The following is a 22,451-nucleotide window of genomic DNA, read 5'->3' on the forward strand; positions in this document are numbered from 1 at the left end:
CCTGGTCATAGGGGGAGGGCAGGCCCCGAGGCACCTCATCCTCCGCAAGGCCTCCATCAACCTAGGAGTACCTAGGAGACGGCACGAGACGGGGCTCTCCCTATGAGGCCCCAAGGGTACTGTGCTCCACAGGCCATGGCTGCGTGGGGCCAGGGCAGGGAAGCACGCACAGATGGGCACCTGGTAGGCCTGCCCTGTTAACAAGGTCCCCGTGTGAATGCCGGCCCACTGTGTGAAAGGATAACTGCACCAGGTCCTTTCTCTTTCTTTCTTTCTTTCATTTATTTATTTATTTATTTTTATTTTTATTTTCATTTTCATTTTTTGAGACAGTCTCACTCTATCACCCAGGCTGGAGTGCAGTGGCACAGTCTCAGCTCAACGCAACCTCCGCCTCCCAGGGTCACGTGATCCTCCTACCTCAGCCTCCCTCCCCAGTAGCTGGGACTACAGGTGTGCACCACCATGCCCAGCTAGTTTTTGTATTTTTAGTAGAGATAGGGTTTCACCATGTTGCCCAGGCTGGTGTTGAACTCCTGGGCTCAAGCAATGCGTCCACCTCTGCCTCCCAAAGTGCTAGGATTACAGGTGTGAGCCACCACGCCTGGCAAGCATCAGATCCTTTCTTGAGTCTGGTCCCACCAGCACACCTGTCTACCCATCTGTCTAATCTGTCTAGGTGGATTAGATGGAGACAGCAATGATGATGAATGTCAATGTCTGTAGCTTCATGGATGCAGGTGGATCTCGATATCTACCATCATAGTGATCTATAGCTATCTGGATTTGGACAGATATAGACATATAGATATATAGATATAGACACACAGAGGTAGAGCTAGAGCTACAAAGAGATTCTCTCTCTTGCTTCCTCTGGTCACAAAGGTAAAGCTGCTGCCATCAAAAACACATGCAAGGCCCTCTGTGTCACAACAGCTGACACAGCCCCTCCTCTATGTGCAGTGGGGCCACTGGTGAGCATCTGCCCCTCCCTGCCCACCGTGAAGGCTCATGGCTGGGCCAGCCCCTTCTCATCTTCCCTGTCGCCTCTCTGGGGAAGGCCGATTTTCCTACATGATTCTGTGCTGAAGAATTAGGGCCAAAGGAGCATGGCAGGAAAAAGATTTGAAATGCTCAGAGGAGAGTGATGCGGATTCTCACCAGGCATGAGGGGAGGCACTGCAAACCTTCCCTGAGGTCGCAGCAACCACAGAAAGTGGCTATTGCCACAGCCAGTGCAAAGATTGGAGGTGGAGGAGTAGGCAGGTCAAAGAGCATTCCAGCATCCTGCAGCTCATGGAAGTGGAGGTTTTTTGGGGGTATCATTCAAATTTGCTCCTTCTGGATACCTGAGGTCATTTCTTTTTTTCTGTTTTCTTTTTTTTTTCTTTTTCTTATTTCAATAGGTTTCAGGAAGACAGGTGATGTTTGGTTATATGGGTAAGTTCTTTAGTGGTGATTTCTGAGATTTTTGGTGCTCCCATAGCCTGAACAGTGTACACAGTACCCAATGTGTAGTCTTTTATCCCTCGCCCCACTCCCACCCTTCCCCTCAAGTCCCCAAAGTCCATTATATCATTCTTATGCCTTTGTGTCCTCATAGGTTGGCTCCCACTTATAAGTGAGAACATACAATGTTTGATTTTCCATTCCTGAGTTACTTCACTGGTCACCAAGTCCATCCAGGTTGCTGTGAATGCCATTATTTCATTCCTTTCTATGGCTGAGTAGTATTCCATGGCATACACACACACACACACACACACACACACACACACACACACACACCTAGGGTCATTTCTGTAAGAATTCTTAGATGTGATACAGGGATGTTGCCAAGCCTTACCTCTCCATTTCATCTCACTGTAGTCCTCGTCCAGGTGTACAGAGAGGCACACAGTTCTCCAACTCATGACTAAAACACCACAGTCTAGCAAGGCAGGCATAATCTGTATGAACTTGGGGCCTGCAAGAGTATCACAGCTATACCTTTCTTTTCTAACCCTGGCCATCCACATGGGACAGAGTGTGAAGGCACTGAGGCACCTCATCAGATTGCATCCAACATCTTTATGGAAAATAAGCACGATAGATGTGAGGTGTTCTGAAGCCCTTTGAGGAAACACCTGACTCGCATGGAGAGTGTGCCCATCAAAATTAGAGTGGGTATTCAATCTCTCCCTAGAAAACAAACTGCATGGATCTGAAATGTCACTGAGATGCAAATGACTCCTAGCAGATCTTGAGCAGAGCTCTCTCGACTGGGAAGGGGTCCTCTGTGTTCATAAATGGGCTGAGAAAGTCCACCCCCATGGAAGAATGAGCCAAAAAAAACAAAACAAAAGAAAACAAGCTCTGCCCCAGGAAGTCACAGCCATCGGCAGCACACTCACGCATCCTATGTCTGCCCCTAAAGCTGCTCCACTTCATGCAGCATGCCTTGCCGGTCTCCCCTCCGCAAAGTGTGAACCTTGGGCCTGCCCTTCAGGGCCAGGAGCGGGCTGGTGGTCAGGGACACCCGCTCAGAGGGCGGGCCCTGCAACGTGCAGGGACAGGGAAAGGCTCTATAAAGATGTTTGCTTTCCACATCCTCACAAAATCAGCCTGCTGTATCCAGAAAACATTTTTCCCCATCCACTCACACACATAAACCTCAACGTCTTGTGTATAACCACAGAAATAAAAAGAGAAACGGCATTCAGTCACGTGAGGGAAGGAAAAGGCATCACTCACTCTCTTCTTGGAGAAGTGAATCAGAAATCCCTGAGGAAAGAAAGCTGGGTACCTTTTTTTGGAGTTCTTGGATATTGGTCTCCCAATTTTTGTCCTCCTGTGAGATCTGTCTAAAAGAGAAAAGAAGAGACTCATTACTTCCCTGGTCACGCTGCGTGGTGAGATCGCGGAGCAGCAGTCCCCAGCGCTTCGTGCCTGGACGCGGTCTGTGACTTGGAGCCTGGCTGGCAGGACTAGTCATGGGGGGCCGGTGGGGCTTCATTTGTTGGCTGGAAAAGGTGCTCACTCTCTATTTTCCCAAAAAAATACATATAATGACCTGAATGATGAAAGGAGTGTGTGTGAGGAGGTACATGTGACAGCTTGCGCAGGGGAAGCTTCACGAAAACCCCGCAGCAGTGCGTGGAGGAGGGCAGCGACCGTCAGTCTCTTTATTTTCCTCTTTATGCACACTTCTACGGTCCTGAATCTCTTTGTTTCCAAAATGAGGGCACTGAACCTATACAACTATTACAACCAACTAAAGAAAAACGTGGTAAAAGAAATGTCACTTGCTTTAATGTTGTTTTTTATCAATCGATGATCACTTCCACGCCTGAAATCCTAGGACTTTGGGGGGCCGAGGGGGAAGGATCACTTGAGGCCAGCAGTTGGGGAAGATCAGCTTTGAAGTCTTTTCTGTCCATGCTGCTCCTGCCGGGGTGGTCTCCTCCCGCCTGTTTCAGCCCCTTCAGTGGCTCCCACTTGCCTCTTCTTTTTCATGTTTCTGACTCAGCCCACCCCTCCTGGCTGACTTCCTCCCAAACCAATTAGGGAAAAGGGGCTGCACAATGAAGAATGCAGTTTTAGTATCAAAAGAGGCTGACCACACAGGCAGTCTGGGTCGTAAGAAATCACAGCAGACACAGTCGAATGATTCTGAGGACAATTTTTAAAAAGAAAATGTAAAAATAAGACTTGCAGGACGGGCGTGGTGACTCACATCTATAATCCCAGTACTTTGGGAGGCTGAGGCAGGCGGATCACCTGAGGTTGGGAGTTCGAGATCAGCCTGACCAACACGGAGAAACCCCGTCTCTACTAAAAATACAAAATTAGCCAGGAGGGTTGGTACATGCCTGTAATCCCAGCTACTCGGGAGGCTGAGGCAGGAGAATCACTTGAACCCAGGAGGCAGAGGTTGCAGTGAGCCGAGATCATGCCACTGCACTCCAGCCTGGGGAACAAGAGCGAAACTCCGTCTCAAAAAAATAAAACCTGCAGAGCTCGACCTTGCTTTAGGACACCCTCATGGTAATCTGCTTCTCAGCAACTGTGTGGCCTTGGGAAGCCACGCCCTCCCCAGGTCTGTTTCCTCATGTGTGACTAACACCAGAGGAGCTGATGGGAACGTGGTGAGCCTCGGAGCCCACATGTTTCCTCATGTTTGTAACCTGAGATGCACTGAGTGTGTCTTTAACACCCAACACCAGCACAATTTATTCCATCTTTAGTTTATGAAGCGTCTCCTTTAAGATCTGTGCTTGCTGCCAAAGTTGGTCATTCTTTCCCCAGCCTGTAACTCAGGGCCTCCCTGTGGCCTGAGGACACTGGTCCTGCTGCTCCAGCATTACTGGGCGAGATGGGTCCCGGACCGGGGATGAAGCCAATGGCACTGAGCCGGCACTTCATCCCGGGATTGTGTGGGACTCCATGTGACTGCCTGTGAATCCTCCCACTAACAGACCAGACCTTGAGACACCCATGCAGGGTGACCCCTCAGTGCACAGCGAATGGCAACAGGCAAGACCATTCTAGATTTTGTTCATAAGGGTTCACATTTCCCCTTGCCTAGATGGACATCTCCACCCCCTCTCAGCTCAGCTGTGGGGACGCTTCAGCTTCAGCATCCCTTGGGGGGCCACCAGGCTCCTGCTTCTTCTGTCTGAGCTTCCAGAACAAAGACTGCTTGGAACTCAGCAACATGTCATAGCAAGGAGAAAAACCACCAATTCATGGTTACCCTTTAAATCTCAGCTTCAATTAACAACGAATGCCAGGAAACAAATTGAGTGGGGCTTTCATATTCTTGCAGGTGCCTGAAAATCAACTGCTGGCAGAATATTTTGTCAAATTAGTCTTTGCATTAATGGTTTTTGGTTTTTGTCGTGCAACAATTACAATGTAGAGAGATGGGACAGCCCAGCGGTTGACAGTGAGAGCCCCATCCCCAGTGCCACTCCTTCCGAGCTGCACAACCCTGGGCACGCCGCTCAAATTCTCTGAGCCTCTGGTTTTGTGTTGTTTCTTTGGTCCTTAAACTCGGCTGTGTACCCCCTGCAGAGCTCAGTGAGGGTTAGATAAAATGTACTATAAGAGGCTTAGCACAGTGTGCGTCACCTAAATATCACGTATTAGTATACAGCTAATGTCGCTATTTTGTAGGCCCATGGAATGTTCTGCTGCACACCAAGCACAGTCTGAGCAGGACCCCGCCCGGTACCTGTGGAAGGTGTGCAGCCTCCGGGCGAGCAGGTGCTCCAGTGCCAGCACCTTCCCCAGCAGCAGGCGGCGCACAGCTGTCTCCTCGCGGCTGGCCGGGCTGATGCGCTGAGCAGTCAGGCGCCAGACGTGAATCTCGTGCTTCAGTTCTGCAGAGAAAGGAAGGCGAAGCTTGGGTCTCCCATGACCTCAGATATCAGCAACACCCTCCTCTGTTCCCCACACAGTCGATGCCTGACAGAGCAGACACACACTCGAGACGTGCAGGTAGCCCAGGGTCACCCAGAGCTTCTCAGCACCTGAGCTATTGCAATGGAGCCCAGACGACAAAGCCGACATTTAAAAATTATCACAAATTGCAAGGACAAAAAACCAAACACCACATGTTCTCACTCATAGGTGGGAATTGAACAATGAGAACACTTGGACATAGCAAGGGGAACATCACACACCAGGGCCTGTTGTGGGGTGGGGGTAGGGGGCAGGGATAGCATTAGGAGATATACCTAATATAAATGACGAGTTAATGGGTACAGCACACTAACATGGCACATGTATACCTACGTAACAAACCTGCACGTTGTGCACATGTACCCTAGAACTTAAAGTGTAATAAAAAAAAAATTATCACGAAAGCGAAGTAATGCAATTTCAACACTTTCAGTGAAGAATAAATTCCTTTCTTGAACCAACACATCAAAGCTAGCACCCAACAACATTTCCCCTTCTTGCAGGAAATATTTCGGATCTGCTTCCAGCCAAAATCTAGACATTGCCCAATCTTTGAGGGGTTTCAGGAGCAGATCTAGTGAAAATTGAAAACACAAGTGTAATTCTCAGGAGAAGGTGCTCAGCGCTCTCCAACAGGGCATTTGGTAAGCAGCAGAAGACAGGGAGGCGCCCTCCAACCAGGCGCCACTGAGCTGTCTCTGACACAGGCGAAAGAGAGAGGTAGATGACTTGATGAGATGCTGAAATCTATAGAATGAGCAGAATTTTCACCCATCACTGAATTCAGACACCTTCTGATAGAGAAGAGTAGAGAGGAAATGATGTGTCAATTCATTGCCTCTTAAGATATTCAAATATTTCATGAAAACCTACATTTAACCTCTATTTTACTGTTAAAAACATTACATATGTTTCTCAAAATATCCATTAAAAGAATATAAGAAAGCACAATATTTTCATGAACCATCCCTTACGTGCAATACTCCACACTGCCTATAGCAAGAATTAAAGATAGGATGAAAAGACAAAGCCTTTCAAGCAGGCGCTGGGGCACTGGAAGAGCAGCTCGGGGCAGATTCAAGGCATGGTGATCACCCGAAGACCTGGGAAGCAGCATGAACATCGTGGGTTCAGTGGAATGGGAAAACGCCACCTTTTAAGCCCCTTCTGTTCAGTACGTGAGTGCTCATCACCCACTGCGTGGCAGACCTACTGCAACAACAAAGATGAGTTAGGCAGAGGGAGGCAGTCTGGAAACGAAGCATGTCATGACTCAGAGAGAATGCGCAGAGCCTGGGAGCACCAGAACTATTTCAGTTAGCACATGGCTTTCTCTAAAGCTTCAGCCCTACCAAGATGAAAACCTTTAGAACTAAGATACATAATATGTTTTCATTCAGTACATATGGATGCTTTGTAGCTTACTAAAATAAAAGGAACTTGGGTATAATTCAAAGGCCTCTTCAGAGAAACAGATCCAAAATTTCCTCTTGAAAAGTCTCACACTTCGTTAAACCACCTATGAGGCTATGATAACATAAAAAGAAAGGGGAAGAGGAAGTGAAGGAAAAAACTAATGAACTCACTCTCTGAAACACTGAACACAAAAACACCATCTGTGGAAGGTCTCCAATGTAAGTTCAGACAGAGCCAGTATTTCATCCAGTGCTCTAAATCTTGCTAAAAGCCCGTCCATAAAGTACCAGAGACTTTCCAGCCATTCTCTAAAGGCATCACGGTGAAGGGCCACTTTCTGAAGCAGCTGATCAGCTTTAAAGTGCTCACACCTCTGCGTGGTTCATCTCTGGTGCCAGCCCCTGGGTGCGGGCTGGAAGTCTCTCCATGCCTTTATGTTTGGAGAAGCAAAGCCTGGGAACCAAGGCTATGCTGGTGGAGCTGACCTCCCAGTCTCTGTGCGACTACTGCAGGTGCTTACTCTCCAGTGGAGCCTCAGCCACCTTCATGCACACCCAGCACCTACCTGCCTTCTAACCCATAAAACCAAAAAGGAAGTGCTGCTCCACTCAGATCAACCCACGCATTAATACTCAGGTAGTACACTTTTGTATTCCTAGTTGTGGAATGTAATATACAAATTATGAAGGAATTTAGTCGGGAGGGATTTTGCCCAGAAGGGTTCACCCAGAACTCAGTTTACCAAAACCTGTCCATGTATCAGTTCCCAGGCTTCCTCTGCACCTCCTCTGTCATTTCCCCACCCTGTCTACTCTGCTGAGGTCCAAGACCATAGACCCAGCTGGCTACCCAATATTTCCCTCTGAACCCTGTGCTGCAAACTCATAGCTAAACACTTTATCTTCCTCCCATAAAGTTTCTCTCCTACCCTTACCTTCTTAGTTTTTATATAATGCAATTGCTCTTCCAGGTACACAAGACTGAAATGTCATCCTGGTCTTGTCAATGTCATTCTCTTTTATATTTCCACATTAACATTATTGTGTCACAGGTGTCAGATCTGTGTTTGATGCTAAAGGATAAAATTTCATTGGTAAGTTACAAGATGGCCTTCCAAAACTGGAAAGAGATATAAGATATATCATAAATAAACATACGCTAGGGTAGTGTGAGCCTCAAGAGCCACCCAGGATATGCTGGCACAGCTCTTGCCTTGTCTGCTTCTTCCTGTCCTAGGTTACCTTCTTGTCCAGGCCTCACCCTCTCACATTTCTTAATTCTTATTGTTCCTTAGTAACCTTTAACTACAGTCACTTGCTATAAACCTGCCCCTGCTTAATCATAAAACACCATTTGCTCTATCTATCTATCTATCTATCTATCTATGTATCTATGTATCTATCTCCCGCCTGTAATCCTAGCACTTTGGGAGGCTGAGGCGAGCAGATCACCTGAGGTCGGGAGTTCGAGGCCAGCCTGGCCAATATGGTGAAACTCTGACTCTACTAAAAATACAAAAAATTAGCTGGGCATGGTGGCAGGCACCAGTAATCTCAGCTGCTTGGAAGACTAAGGTAGGAGAATTGCTTGAACCCAGGAGGTGGAGGTTGCAGTGAGCCAAGATTGCTTCACTCCACTCCAGCCTGGGCATGACAGAGCAAGGCTCCATCTCAAAAAAAAAAAAAAAAAAATGGTAACAAAAGCCAAAATTGACAAATGGGATCTAATTAAACTAAAGAGCTTCTGCACAGCAAAAGAAACTACCATCAGAGTGAACAGGCAACCTATAGAATGGCAGAAAATTTTTGTAATCTATCCATCTGACAAAGGGCTAATATGCAGAACCTACAAAGAACTTAAACAAATTTACAAGAAAAAAACAACCCCATCAAAAAGTGGGCAAAGGATATGAGCAGACACTTCTCAAAAGAAGACATTTATGCGACCAACAAACATATGAAAAAAAGCTCATTACCACTGGTCATTAGAGAAACGCAAATCAAAACCACGATGAGATACCATCTCACTCCAGTTAGAATGATGATCATTAAAAAGTCAGGAAACAACAAATGCTGGAGAGGATATGGAGAAATAGGAATGCTTTTACACTGTTGGTGGAACTGTAAACTAGTTCAGCCATTGTGGAAGACAGTGTGGCGGTTCCTCAAGGATCTAGAACCAGAAATACCATTTGACCCAGCAATCCCATTACTGGGTATATAACCAAAGGATTATAAATCATTCTACTATAAAGACACATGCACACGTATGCTTATTGCAGCACTGTTCACAATAGCAAAGACTTGGAACCAACCCAAATGCCCATCAATGACAGACTGGATAAAGAAAATGTGGCACATATACACCATGGAATACTATGCAGCCATAAAAAGGATGAGTTCATGTCCTTTGCAGGGACATGGATTAAGCTGGAAACCATCATTCTCAGCAAACTAACACAGGAACAGAAAACCAAACACTGAATGTTCTCACTCATAAGTGGGAGTTGAACAATGAGAACACATGGACACAGGGAGGGGATCATCACACACCGGGGGCTGTCGGAGGGTTGGGGGCTAGGGGAGGGATAGCATTAGGAGAAATACCTAGTGCAGATGACAGGTTCATGGGTGCAGCAAACCACCATGGCATGTGTATACCTATGTAACAAACCTGCACATTCTGCACATATATCCCAGAACTTAAAGTGTAATTGAGAAATAAAATAAAATAAATAAAAATAAAAATAATTTAAACATTTTTAAATTAATTAATTAAAATAATAAAACAAAATAAATCTATTTCCCAGATGATAGGAAGATGACTGATATTTATCTAGCTATCATCTTCCTAGATCTATCATTTCCTAGATTAGATGATAGATTACAGATAGATAAATAGAAGATAGACAGATAAATTCCTTCTTTCAAATATCCAGTAGTTCCCCGTGGCCTGTAGAATAAAGCTAAAGATGTCAAAGATCTTCAGAGAAGACTCAAAACCCCAAATGCCCAGCACCATTGTGAGCTCTGATTCTGCCATATAAGTTTCAACTCTTTGTCTTTGCCACCCTAGCCTCTTACTAGGAGACATCATCAGATATCCCATGTCTTACCTCTCTATCAGCCTCTATCTTTCTGAGCTTCTCAACCAACTTCTGATGGTATTACTTAGAGTGGCCACATACATGTTTCAAACAGGCAAAGAAAGTGCCGTGTGGGATGTGCTCTGACACAGGAGGTGATGGCTTCCAGGGAAGCCTAGAGTAGTGAGCTCAGAGCTGGGAATCTCAGGAGAAGAAGCCTAGGCCAGAAAGAGAGAAATGGAACTATACTAGTGTTAAGTTCTTCTACTGTATGTTAGGTAGTATAATATCGCTCAAAGTTAGTGGTATAATAGTCACTAAAATCACAAAACAGAATTAAAGCCAAAAAAAGTAACAACCAACAGAGGAGAAAATATAGAATGTATTTAAATACTCAATTAATTCAAAAGAAGGCATAAATGAAGAAAAGGGTAATAATGAAGCACAAATATAAAACAATAATATGATGTTACACTTAAATTCAATCGCATCACTAAGCACATTAAATATAAATGGTTTAAGAGACAGACTATCAGAGTAGATAAAAAATCAGGATGCTAATATATGCTGCTTACAAGAACTGTACTTTAAAGATATAAATAAGTTAAAAGTAAAAAGATGGAAAAAGATACACCACACTAACACTAGTCAAGAGAAAAATGAAATTGTTATATTAACAACAAAGTATATTTCAGAGCAAAGAATATTATCATGGATCGCAAAGATTGTTTTTATAGCAAGGTGTTAAATCATCAAGATGAAAGAACAATCCTAAATATTTATGTGCCCTAATAGTAAACTTTTAAAATGCATAAAGCAAAATAATAGAATTACAAAGAGAAATAAACAAATCTATAATCAACCTTAGACACGTCTGTATCCATCTCTCAATAATTAAACAAGTAGATAGAAAATCAGCAAGAATATAGAATACTTGAATAACATTATCAGCCAATCTGACCTAAGCTATATAATTGACATCACTGAACATCCCTCCTAACAAGAGCAGAATACGTTTTCATTTCTAGTGCACACAGAATGTTTACAAAGGTAGACCACATTCTATAGCCATACAAGCCTCAATAAATGTTAAAGGATTCAAGATTTATGAAATATATTCTCTTACTACAGTGGAACTAAATTAGGTAACTGCAAAAACTTTCCCAAATACTTGGAAGGTATATAAACCATCTAAATTATCCAAGGATCAAAGAAAAAATAAAAAGATGCATTATAAGATAATTTGAACTGAATGAAAATGAAATAAAAATAATAAATTAGTGAGAGGCCACTAAAGTAATACTTAGAAGGAAATTTAGAGCACTAAAGGCCTATATTAGAAAATAAGATGCACATAAAATCAATAACCTTAGCCTCCACTTTAAGAAACCAGTGAAAAAATAAGCAAGCCTGAAAGTAAGCAGAAAAAAAATAAATAAAGAGCACAATAGACATTATTAAAAGAGAAAAAAATTGTAGAGAAAAATCTATATAATCAAAAGCTGGTTCTTTGAGATCAATAAAATTGATAAACCAACCAAAGAGAGAGAGAAGACACAAACTATCAAACTACCAACATCAGGAATGAGAGATATGACATTATCAAAAATTTGATAGCCCTTAAAAGGATAATGAAAGAATATTATGAACAATTTTATAACAATACATTCAACAACTTAGATTAAATGGACAAATTCCTTGAAAGACACCAACTACCAGTCAACACTCAAGGAGAAACAGATAACTTGAATAGCCATCCCTATATGTATATTAAGGGATTTGAATTTGTAGTTAAAAACCTTTCCACAAAAACATCCAGGCCTATAAATGTCCAAATAAACATTTAAGAAAAAAGTAATAGCAATTCTACAGAAATTCTTCCAAAAAATTGAAGATGAGGAAATATTTCCATATTCCTCCTATGAGGACAACAAAAAAGACATTACAAGAAAGGAAACTACAATCAAGATCCCTAATGTACACAAAAACAAAATGCTAAACAAAGTATTAGCAAGAAGCAGCATGAGTTGAACATTTGGTGATCAGAGGGATAGGCTCTGGTGATTATTGTTCTTTTCACCATGTAAGTCATGCTCTCTCCCATTCTGAGCACCTGGCAGGCTGGCCTGTCCTGGTCCCTTGTGACTGGGTGGGGCCTGCCTGTGTCACTGGATGGCAGAATGGGACCATGCTATTCTCTTTGCCTTCAAGGCTAGCCGCTCAGGACTCTAAGAACAGATGATGATCAGGGCCCCTGCCAGTCCATTGGGGAGGGGGCGGGGGGTACAAAGCCAACACAAGGAAGAAAACACAGTTCTGGAAGTCACTGAGATTTCAGGGTTACTTTTTCACTGCAACATAACCAAGCCTGTTCTGACAATGCTCTGTACACCACCACAGGCCTGCTAAACTCAGATCTCTTGAGTGGGGCTTGGGAATCTGCAGTTTTACCCACCACTCCAAATTTGGAGCCCTCTAAGCCCCACAGTGGCACAGAGCAATCACCCCACCTTGCACTGCTGGTCTTAGCCCGGCCATAGGGTTCCTGCATCACCAGGTGTGTCCACTTCCAACCATCACTCCCCACTTCCCTCGAAGCTTTTCTCTGTTCCTTACTCAGGAACGGTGAGGAATTCATTACAGAGATTATTTTCTGTGTGTCTAAATCTGTGTATCCCAAATTCATCTCAAGATTAGACTCTTCAGGACAGCTTACTAACAACACAGAATTCCTGGGGATGACGCTGAAAATCTGCATATACAACAATTGTCCCAGGTCACTGTGATCACCAGGGAGGTTGGGAGAGGCTGGCATAGTTGGGCAGGATGACGGTTGAGCTCTCCACTAAGACACAGCTGTGCACACACAAGCTCCAAGAGACAGGACAATTATCCACCACGATCACAGTCTCCTTCACTCTCCCTTAGTTCTAACATTTTCATCAGAAAAAGAAACCTATATATTAATTTATCTTACTTTGCATATATTAGTTGATTATAAAACATTCTAAACACCTCTAACTAGTTGTTATGGGTTGAACTAGGTCCAGCCCCCAGGTAAGATGAGTAGATATTCCCAAGAACAAGCTTGTTTTGACAGATGAATCCTGAGGAGGAATGCAAAACAATGTTTTCTTAATGAGATTTTTTAAATACTCAAATTCTGAATAACATGAAAGTCACACAGATCTGTCTTGGACAGTCAGCATCGGAGGAACTGGAGTATGGCAGGACCATGTCGTGGCCTCCAGCCACCCATGTGGAAATGGAATCTGGGTATCTTATCCAGAACAAAGACAAACTGAGATCCTGTAAAACACAGGCCAGCAGAATCACAAAGGCTGAGAGAGATCAACATGCAATCCGTGAGCTCTACAAATTCCCAAAGAAGAGCGCCTTCATCTGCTGAGCTCTGGTCGCCTGATGCCCCTGTTACCCAGGCAACCTGCACAGCATCCATATTCTGGAGCTCGTCAAGGAAAGGCTGCTTGTTTCCCAAATAATCTATTGTTCCTAATATATTCTAATCAGTAATGATCTCAGTAAAACATCTACTAAAGTGTTTTAGTGATGAAAATGCAAAACGATAAGATGGCCCTAAGCCCTCATCCTGCTGGCTGGTGCTCAGCATCTGCTGTTTGTTTGTTTGTTTGTTTGTTTGTTTGTTTTTGAGACAGAGTTTCACTCTGTCGCCCAGGCTGGAGTGCAGTGGCACGATCTTGGCTCACTGCAACCTCCACCTCCTGGGTTCAAGCAATTCTCCTGCCTCAGCCTCCTGAGTAGCTGGGATTACAGGCCTGTGCCACCATGCCCGGCTAATTTCTGTATTTTTAGTAGAGACGGGGTTTCACCATGTTGGCCAGGCTGGAGTCGAACTCCTGACCTGATTCAGGTGATCCGCCCACCTTGGCCTCCCAAAGTGCTGGGATTACAGGCGTGAGCCACCGTGCCTGGCCTAGCATGTGCTCTTGATTGACAGGGCCCATCACCTCCTGTGCTGGGTTATGTTGCTGTTATTTCCAGTCATATTTAAGACTCAAGCTATGATACACTATTAGAGCACTGCAGTCTATATGTTAGTGTATTTGTACCATATACACGTGGCTTTAGGGGGTTATGACATGTGAGTTGTACATGGTGGCCATTACTTCCCACATTTTACCACAGTACACTTCACAGAAAACTAAAGAGGCACAGCTCATGATAGCAGCCCTGAAAACAGTGTATACTAGAAGGTGGACGTGGAGAGTCACTGGTATTGAGCATCCAGCAACCCATCAACAGATACTTCCTAATAAGAACTTCTCCTGGTAAACAAACAATATTATGGTCATGAAATCTGAGCCTACATGAGGTTGCACTTGTACTCACCAACAATCTCACTGGGTTCCTTGTTATAAAGCTTTCTGTTCCAGTAAAGGAGTCTGAGGAGCGGAAAGCAGACCAGGAGAACAAGGCAAATCCCAATGAACATGTGTGCAGTGAATCCGGCAAAGTCCAGGCCCTGGAAATAAACAAGGGGAAATGAAATGGCAGCCCAGGCATGGTGGCTCACGCCTGTAATCCCAGCACTTTCCGAGGTGGGTGGATCACGAGGTCCGGAGATGGAGACCATCCTGGCTAACACAGTGAAAACCTGTCTCTACTAAAAAATACAAAAAATTAACTGGGCGTGGTGGCGGGTGCCTGTAGTCCCAGCTACTCGGGAGGCTGAGGCAGGAGAATGGCGTGAACCCGAGAGGCGGAACTTGCAGTGAGCCGAGATCATGCCACTGCACTCCAGCCTGGGCGACAGAGCGAGACTCCGTCTCAAAACAAACAAACAAAAAGAAACGGAAGACGGGCCTTTCCTCCGCACAGGCAGCAGCTCCCTGAGTCAGGGTCCAGGGAGGGCCAGAGCCCAGGAGGGAAGGGGCTCACCAGGAGTTCCAGGACCTTAGGCAGAGGTCCTGGAGCCCAACACAAAGCCCACGAAAGACCACGGATTCCTTACCATGATTTTGAAAATTGTTAACGTTTGTTTCTTTCATGTCGAAAACCAAAAACCAATTCTTACACAAATGACAAGCCATCATAGGAAGAAACAAAAACAGGCTACCACATCTAACTCAACCTTGGCTTGGTCCATCTTCACCACTAGATTGATGCCTTCCCCAAGATAGGGTGAAAAAAGACTGAATGGGACAAAATACTAAACTATATGATAATATTTGCCCATTTAAAGGTAAGTTGAATTTTTAAACACTTCATTTAAGTCCCTGCCATCGGTTTGAAAGTGTCCTCGTGGCTGGAGAGCACAGCCCTTTGCAGGGCACTCAGGGCCCATCAGGGCTGGGATCGCTTAGAGCATGGGGACCAGCCGCAGGGACTCAAGCAGGAACCTCTCCTTCCCGGCACGCTTCCTTTGCCTGCCTAGGGCTCTGCACGTGGCCGGCCACTGAGGGTATCTTTAGAGTTGGGCAAATCCCCACTAGGTTGATTTGTCCTGGAATAAGTCAGCGGCGTCATTGGTTGGTTCTGTTCTTTCACACACAAACGTCCTGGAATAAGTCAGCAGCATCATTGGTTGGTTCTGTTCTTTCACTGACGTCCTGGAATAAGTCAGCAGCGTCATTGGTTGGTTCTGTTCTTTCACTGACGTCCTGGAATAAGTCAGCAGCGTCATTGGTTGGTTCTGTTCTTTCACTGGCGTCCTGGAATAAGTCAGCAGCGTCATTGGTTGGTTCTGCTCTTTCGCTGACGTCCTGGAATAAGTCAGCAGCGTCATTGGTTGGTTCTGTTCTTTCACAGACGTCCTGGAGTAAGTCAGCAGCGTCATTGGTTGGTTCTGTTCTTTCACAGACCATGTGCTTTTACACCTTCAGCACATCTGTGCAGGCACCTCCTGAGCCCCCAGCAGGACAGATGAGGCTCTTATCCCCATGAAGCTGGCCATCTGGCAAGAACTCAAGGTCTTTTCTGTAGTGTCCATGAATCACAGGTGCCACAAAGGGGGTCAGAGGCACAGTGACAATGCACGACCATGGGGAATGACAGGGGCAGGGTGGGAGGGACCACGGGCAGTCCAGCTCTGCCTTGGGACCCTTAGGAACCTCTTACATAGGTAGAGGGGTGGCAAGTCACACAGAACGTTAGTGAGGATCCCACGTTGGGAGTTTGGAAAATCACCTTCCAAAGGTCTGGGTTTGAGTGATTTAAACTATATTAATTGTTCCTTATTAAAATTTATGTATTTTTCCTCTCACTTTTAGAAAATATGTGAAATCACTTTCAACATTATTAAAGATACAACACAACTAGAGGCCATTATCAATGAAGTTGTGTAAAAGTTTAGAGCTTGCCAATATACAATAATCTGAAATGCTTAATCCCTTGCAGTTACCGGCACATCCAATGGTTGTCCTTGAAAACAGCATTACAAATGACAGGTGGAGCTATATAAGCTAATTCCTGGACAGATGGCAGGGAAACCACACAGAGGCGGGACTCATGGAATGCTTTGGGTGATCATATAGAAGAATTCACCACTTTCCCGATAGTTCTTCAATGGGGGTATTACATTGAATTTTGTGTTTATCTCTATAATTCATACCCCAGATATCTGAAAAAGATCCACGATACTTTTAGGGGCTTATGAAACTGTTTTAAATTCTTCTAAACTCAGAGGCAAAAAAAAAAAAAAAGGAACTGTTGCGTCAGAGAAAATGATTTAAACTATAGTACTAATATATTTATACACTAGCTGGGTCATGAAATGCAATTGTTAATATTTTTTAGAGAAAATGTCCCAAGAAGACAGAAGTACCTATATCCTGAGTAATTCTTGGTCCCTCTAGAACATAATAACTATAAAGTTTTGCCCCATTTGAAATGTTGGGGCAATTGGAGAAAAAAGTGATGAGTAGATAAAAGAAAAAAAAAAAAGTAAGGAGGTCCTGGGTGTGCGTCCACAGCAAAATGACACAGCACTGAGTGAAGCATTTGGTTGCTACTAGACTTGCGATGGGTGGATTCATCAAAAGAGCAATGATAAGGGAAAAATCCAAACTGATCACTTTAGGAAACAGGCAGATGCAGTGTGCAGTGGGATGCAGATGTTTGCACTAAGCTTATTAGGCGCAGGTATCTGGGACACCCTGCTGCTTTTACATGCCTCTGTAATTTCCTAGACTCTCGTCTGTGTTCCCAGTAACAAAACTATCCACCAGCACACTCACATCAATTCAGCGCCTAAATGCGCTCTTTCTGCTTCAAGGTGCCACTTCTGCTTTGTATTGTTTTATTATAGGCTCCACTCAGTCATTTTCTTCTTAATTTTCCCCACTGTCCTCATTTGATGGATTAAATGGCCAAATATTAGGCACGTAAACCAAACAAAAGAGGAACCCTCAATCAGATCAGAACATTCCCAGATTCATAATCTACATACATTTAAGGGGACACGCCTGAGGGACTTCTGGCCCACCAATATCATTTTCTAGGAATGACGCTTCAGGCTAGCTCTGTGACAAGTCAAAATGGTCCATTAGGTTGCAAAGGAGGGGCTCAAGCCAAAATGATTTCTTGAATTCTTCCATGTGAAAATTTAAAAAAAAAAAAAAGCTTCTTATGAAGTGTTTAGCTGAATCTATTGAATATTTTAGTAAAATATGCATGGTGTAATTTGAAAATATAATCCTGTCTAGATGGCCAGTAAGGAGAGGACCCAGCACTGCAGGAATGCGTGTGGGCCAGACGGGGGTGTGGGTCTCGCTGCTTGTAAGGGATCCATCAAGCATAGGTGCAGGGGTCCTGGCACACATGGGTCTAAAGGAAGAGCCTCTGGCAGAGACACAGATCCCAGCAAGCTGAAAACGGAGCAAGCCACGGAGGGGATGAGCTTTGCTAGCCAGTGCTGATCTGAGAGGAGAAAAAGGTCAAAAACGAAGACCCCTGAGCCCACAGATATTAAATAGGTGTGTGGAAACCAACAAACCAAAAAAAAAACCCCATAAAGGAAATTCAGAGGGGGCCAGAGAGGCAGAGCAGGGCCCACAAGAGAGAGACACTGTCTCAATTAACACCCAAGGGAGTGGGGGAAAAGCAGTAGTGGAGGAGAAGCCAAAGAACTTCACAGCACATGCAGCATGGCAGGAACGCAGGAAAAACGCCCCAGCAGGCACGGCATGGTGGGAAAATATGAAGAAGGTCCCAGCACACACAGCACGGTGGGAAAATGTAAAGAATGTCCCAGCACGCACAGCATGATGGGAAAACATGAAGAATGTCCCAGCATGCACAGTATGGCAGGGAAAGCCTGAAGAACGCCCCAGCACACACGGCATGGTGGGAAAACATTAAGAATGTCCCAGCATACGCAGTACGGCAGGGAAAGCCTGAAGAACGCATGCTGGGAAAACGTGAAAAACATCCCAGCACACACAGAATGTTGGGAAAACATAAAGAACATCCCAGCATGCACAGTATGGCAGGGAAAGCCTGAAGAATACCCCAGTACGTATGGCATGGTGGGAAAACGTGAAAAACGTCCCTGCACACATGGGATGGTGGGAAAACAGGAAGAACGTGGCAGCACCCACGGCATGATGGGAAAACGTAAAGAACGTCCCAGCATGCACAGTACGGCAGGGAAAGCCTGAAGAACTCCCCAGCAAGCACGGCATGGTGGGAAAACGTGAAAAATGCCCCAGCATGCAAGGCATGGTGGGAAAACATAATTATAATGTCCCAGCAAGCACAGTATGGCAGGAAAGCCTGAAGAACGCCCCAGCATGCCCGGCATGGTGAGAACACGGAAAGAACCTCCCAGCATGCAAGACATGATGGGAAAACGTGAAGAACGCCCCAGCACGCATGGCATGGTGGGAAAACGGGAAGAATGTCCCAGCAAGCCCAGCGCACAGTATAGTGGGAAAAGTATAAAAAGCATCCAAGTACACAACGTGGGGCATGAAGGGAAACCTGTCTTCTTACAAAGATGCTATTCAGAAGCATAGGGGCACGCTTCCCTCAAGAGACTTTTCAGGTATTATTTTAAAGATAGTTGAATAGTTTTGCTCACCATGGTGAGTCTCTGTAGAACAGGCATAAAGGAGCAAATGTAACCAGCAAAGTAAAACTTTATCCTGTCAGCTTGTTAGGAGCTGAAGGTGCAGTGGGTTGGTGCGCGTGGATGCTACAGCCAGGCCGACTCATGCTTACCCAAGGGAGGCTTGTGGCTGGGGAATAAGTGGTTGTCCATGTGGTGGGTCCTGGAGGTCCTCCCTACCTACCTGTCCAGTGCTGGAAATTCCACCGACAGAGAGTTATCCCAAGAGACCTGAGAGACCTAAGCCTCGTGCAGCAATGGTAGGTGGCAAGAACTTTCCTCACAACTTCCTGTCGTTTCTGCCCAATGCTCGGAAAATGTGGACGAGTTTTCAGATGTGACTTCTTTACTGTTCCAAACTCTAGTGCTGATTTGTTTATTATTCCTCCAAACTACATAAGTATTCATTTTCTTTGTGAATTTTTTTTTCATTAGCTTTAGGGGTGCAAGTGGTTTTCGGTTACATGGATAAATTATATACTGGTGAAGTCTGGGATTTTAGTGCACCCATCACCAGAGTAGTGGACATTGTACATAATATGTAGTTTTTCATCCATCAACCCCTCCTGACCTCCCCTCTTCCTAGTCTCCAATGTTCTCGTTACCAGTGTATGCCTTTGCATACTCACAACTTAGCTCCCACTTATATGTGAGAACATGCGGTATTTGCTTTTCCATTTCTGAGTTACTTCACTTAGAATAATGGCCTCCAGTTCCATCCAAGTTGCTGCAAAAGACATTAGTTCATTCTTTTTTATGGCTGAGTAGTATTCTATGGTGTGTGTGGGTGTATATACACGCATATCTCTCTCTCTCTCAAATTTTCTTTATCCACTTATCTGTTGATAGGCATTTAGGTTGAGTCCATATCTCTGCAGTTGTGAATTGTGCTGTGATAAACATAAGTGTGCCGGTGTCTTTTTGATATAATGACTTCTTTTCCTTTGGGTAGATACCCAGTGACTGGATTGCTGGATTGAATGGTAGATATACTTTTAGTTCATTGAGAAATCTCCACAGTATTTTCCATAAGGGTTGTATTAATTTACATTCAAACCAGCAGTGTATAAGCATTCCCTTTTTACCACATCTGTGCCAACATCTATTGTTTTTTGACTTTTTAATAATGGCCATAATGGCCATTCTGGCTGTAATAAGGTGATATCTCATTCTTTTAATTTGTATTTCCTGATGATTAGTGATGTTCAGCATTTTTTCATATGTTTCTTGGCCAGTTGCATATCTTCTTCAAAAATGTCTACTCATGTCATTTGCCTACTTTTTATTGGGATTATTTTTTTTTTCTTGCTAATTTGTTTGAGTTTCTTATAGATTCTGGATATTAGTCCTTTGTCAGATTCATAGTTTGCAAACATTGTCTCCCATTCTGTAGGTTTTCTGTTTACTTTGATGGTTATTTTATTTTATTTTATTTTATTTTATTTTATTTTATTTTATTTTATTTTATTTTATTTTTGTGACAGAGTCTCTCTTTCTCACCCAAGCTGGAGTGCAGTGGTGCAATCTCGGCTCACTGCAACCTCTGCCTCCCTGGTTCAAGTGATTCTCCTGCCTCAGCCTCCCGAGTAGCTGGGATTACAAGCATGCACCACCACGCCCAGCTATTTTTTTATTTTATTTTTAGTAGAGATGGGGTTTCACCGTGTTGGCCAGGCTGGTCTCTAACTCCTGACCTGAAGTGATCCTCCCACCTTGGCCTCCCAAAGTGCTGGGATTACAGGCGTGAGCCACCATGCCCAGTCTGCATTAGCTTTTCAGTTTAATTAGATCCCATTTATTTTTGTTTCTGCAGCATTTGTTTTTGGGGTCTTTGTCCTAAATTCTTTGCCTGGGTCAGTGTCCAAAGGAGTTTTTCATAGGTTTTCTTCTAGAATTTTTATGGTTTCAAGTCTTAGATTTAAGTCTTTAATCCATCTTCAGTTATATTGTATATCGTGAGAGATAGGGATCCAGTTTCATTCTTCTACATGTGGCTAGCCAGTTTTCCCAGCATCATTTACTGAAGAGAGTGTCTTTTACCCAGTTTATGTTTTTGTATACTTTGTTGAAGATCAGTTGGTTGTAAGTATTTGGCTTTATGTCTGGGTTCTCAATTCTGTTCCATTGCTCTATGTGTCTACTTTTATACTAGTACCATGCTGTTTTGGTTACTATAGCCTTTTAGTATAATTTGAAGTTGAGTAATGTGATGTCTCTAGATTTGTTATTTTTATTTAGGATTGCTTTGGCGGCTATTCAGGCTCTTTTTTGGTTCCATATGAATTTCAAGATTGGTTTTTCTAATTCTGTGAAAAATGATATTGGCATTTTGATAGGAATTGCATTGAATCTGTAAGTTACTTTGGGCAATATGGTCATTTTGTGATACTGACTCTTCCAATCCATAAGTATGGGATGCATTTCCATTTGTTTGTGTCATCTATGATTTCTTTCAGCAGTGTTTTGTAGCTCTCCTTTTAGACATCTTTCAACTCCTTGGTTAAGTATATCCCTAGGTATTTTATTTTTTTGGTAGCTATTGTGAAAGGGATTGAGTTCTTGATTTGATTCTTGGCTTGGTCATTGTTGGTATATAGCAGTGCTACTGATTTGTGTACATTGATTTTGTAACCTGAGATTTTACTGAATTCATTTATCAAATCTAGGAGTCTTGGAGGAGTCTAGACTTTTCTAGGTATAAGATCATATCAGTGGCAAACAGACATAGTTTGACTTCCTCTTTTCCAATTTGGGTACTCTTTATTTCTTTCTCTTGTCTGATTACTCTGACTAGGACTTCCTCTTCAGGAATAATTTTAAAATTAATTTCAAACTTAAGTTTTATTTCATAATCTGTTTTCTTCCTATTTGAGTTCCTTGATGAACAAGTAAACAATGCAAAATAAATATGCACATCATGTGAGGCAAATGTATGGCTGTGCTGTCACTATTGATAATGAGGCTTTATAAATTTATCTCTACTGAAGACACTGTCCCTGAAACTATGAGTGCATCTGTGTCTCCATACAGAGAAGTATTTCCTTATCTCCAAACTACTGTGAAATAAATTAAAATCAAGGCCGGGCATGGCGGCTCATGCCTATAATCTCAGCACTTTGGGAGGCCGAGGCAGATGGATCACCTGAGGTCAGTAATTCCAAGACCAGCTTGGGCAACACAGTGAAACCCCATCTCTACTAAAAATATAAAAATTAGCCAGGCGTGGTGGTATGCACCTGTAATCCCAGCTACTCAGGAGGCTGAGGCAGGAGAATTGCTTGAACCCAGGAGGCGGAGGTTGCAGTGAGCCAAGATCACGCTACTGCACTCCAGCCTGGGCAATAGGGTGAGACTCCATTACAGTTTAATTCCCAAATTCAGAGAAAGTCATTAAGTAGAAGACAAGGAATGCTGTCT

At 43.9% G+C, this 22,451-nt stretch overlaps 1 protein-coding gene across 30 annotated transcripts in view; it reads right to left on the reverse strand.

Moving 5' to 3' along the window:
• The window catches only part of OCA2 (OCA2 melanosomal transmembrane protein), a 380,308-nt gene that overhangs the window by 233,365 nt on the left and 124,492 nt on the right, over nt 1-22,451 (reverse strand). For 29 of the 30 annotated variants that reach the window (XM_047432619.1, XM_047432618.1, XM_047432609.1 and 26 more), the window contains 3 exons: nt 14,318-14,450; nt 5,216-5,363; nt 2,786-2,843 (listed from right to left, as the gene is read on the reverse strand). In XM_047432619.1, coding sequence (XP_047288575.1) covers nt 2,786-2,843; nt 5,216-5,363; nt 14,318-14,450 — 339 coding nt within the window. Of the gene's footprint in view, nt 1-2,785; nt 2,844-5,215; nt 5,364-7,795; nt 7,934-14,317; nt 14,451-22,451 lie in introns of those variants that run through there. The other variant, XR_001751294.2, reaches the window with a different exon arrangement.

This window comes from Homo sapiens, chromosome 15 (genome assembly GCF_000001405.40).
Source record: "Homo sapiens chromosome 15, GRCh38.p14 Primary Assembly".
NCBI classification, from domain to species: Eukaryota; Metazoa; Chordata; class Mammalia; order Primates; family Hominidae; genus Homo; species Homo sapiens.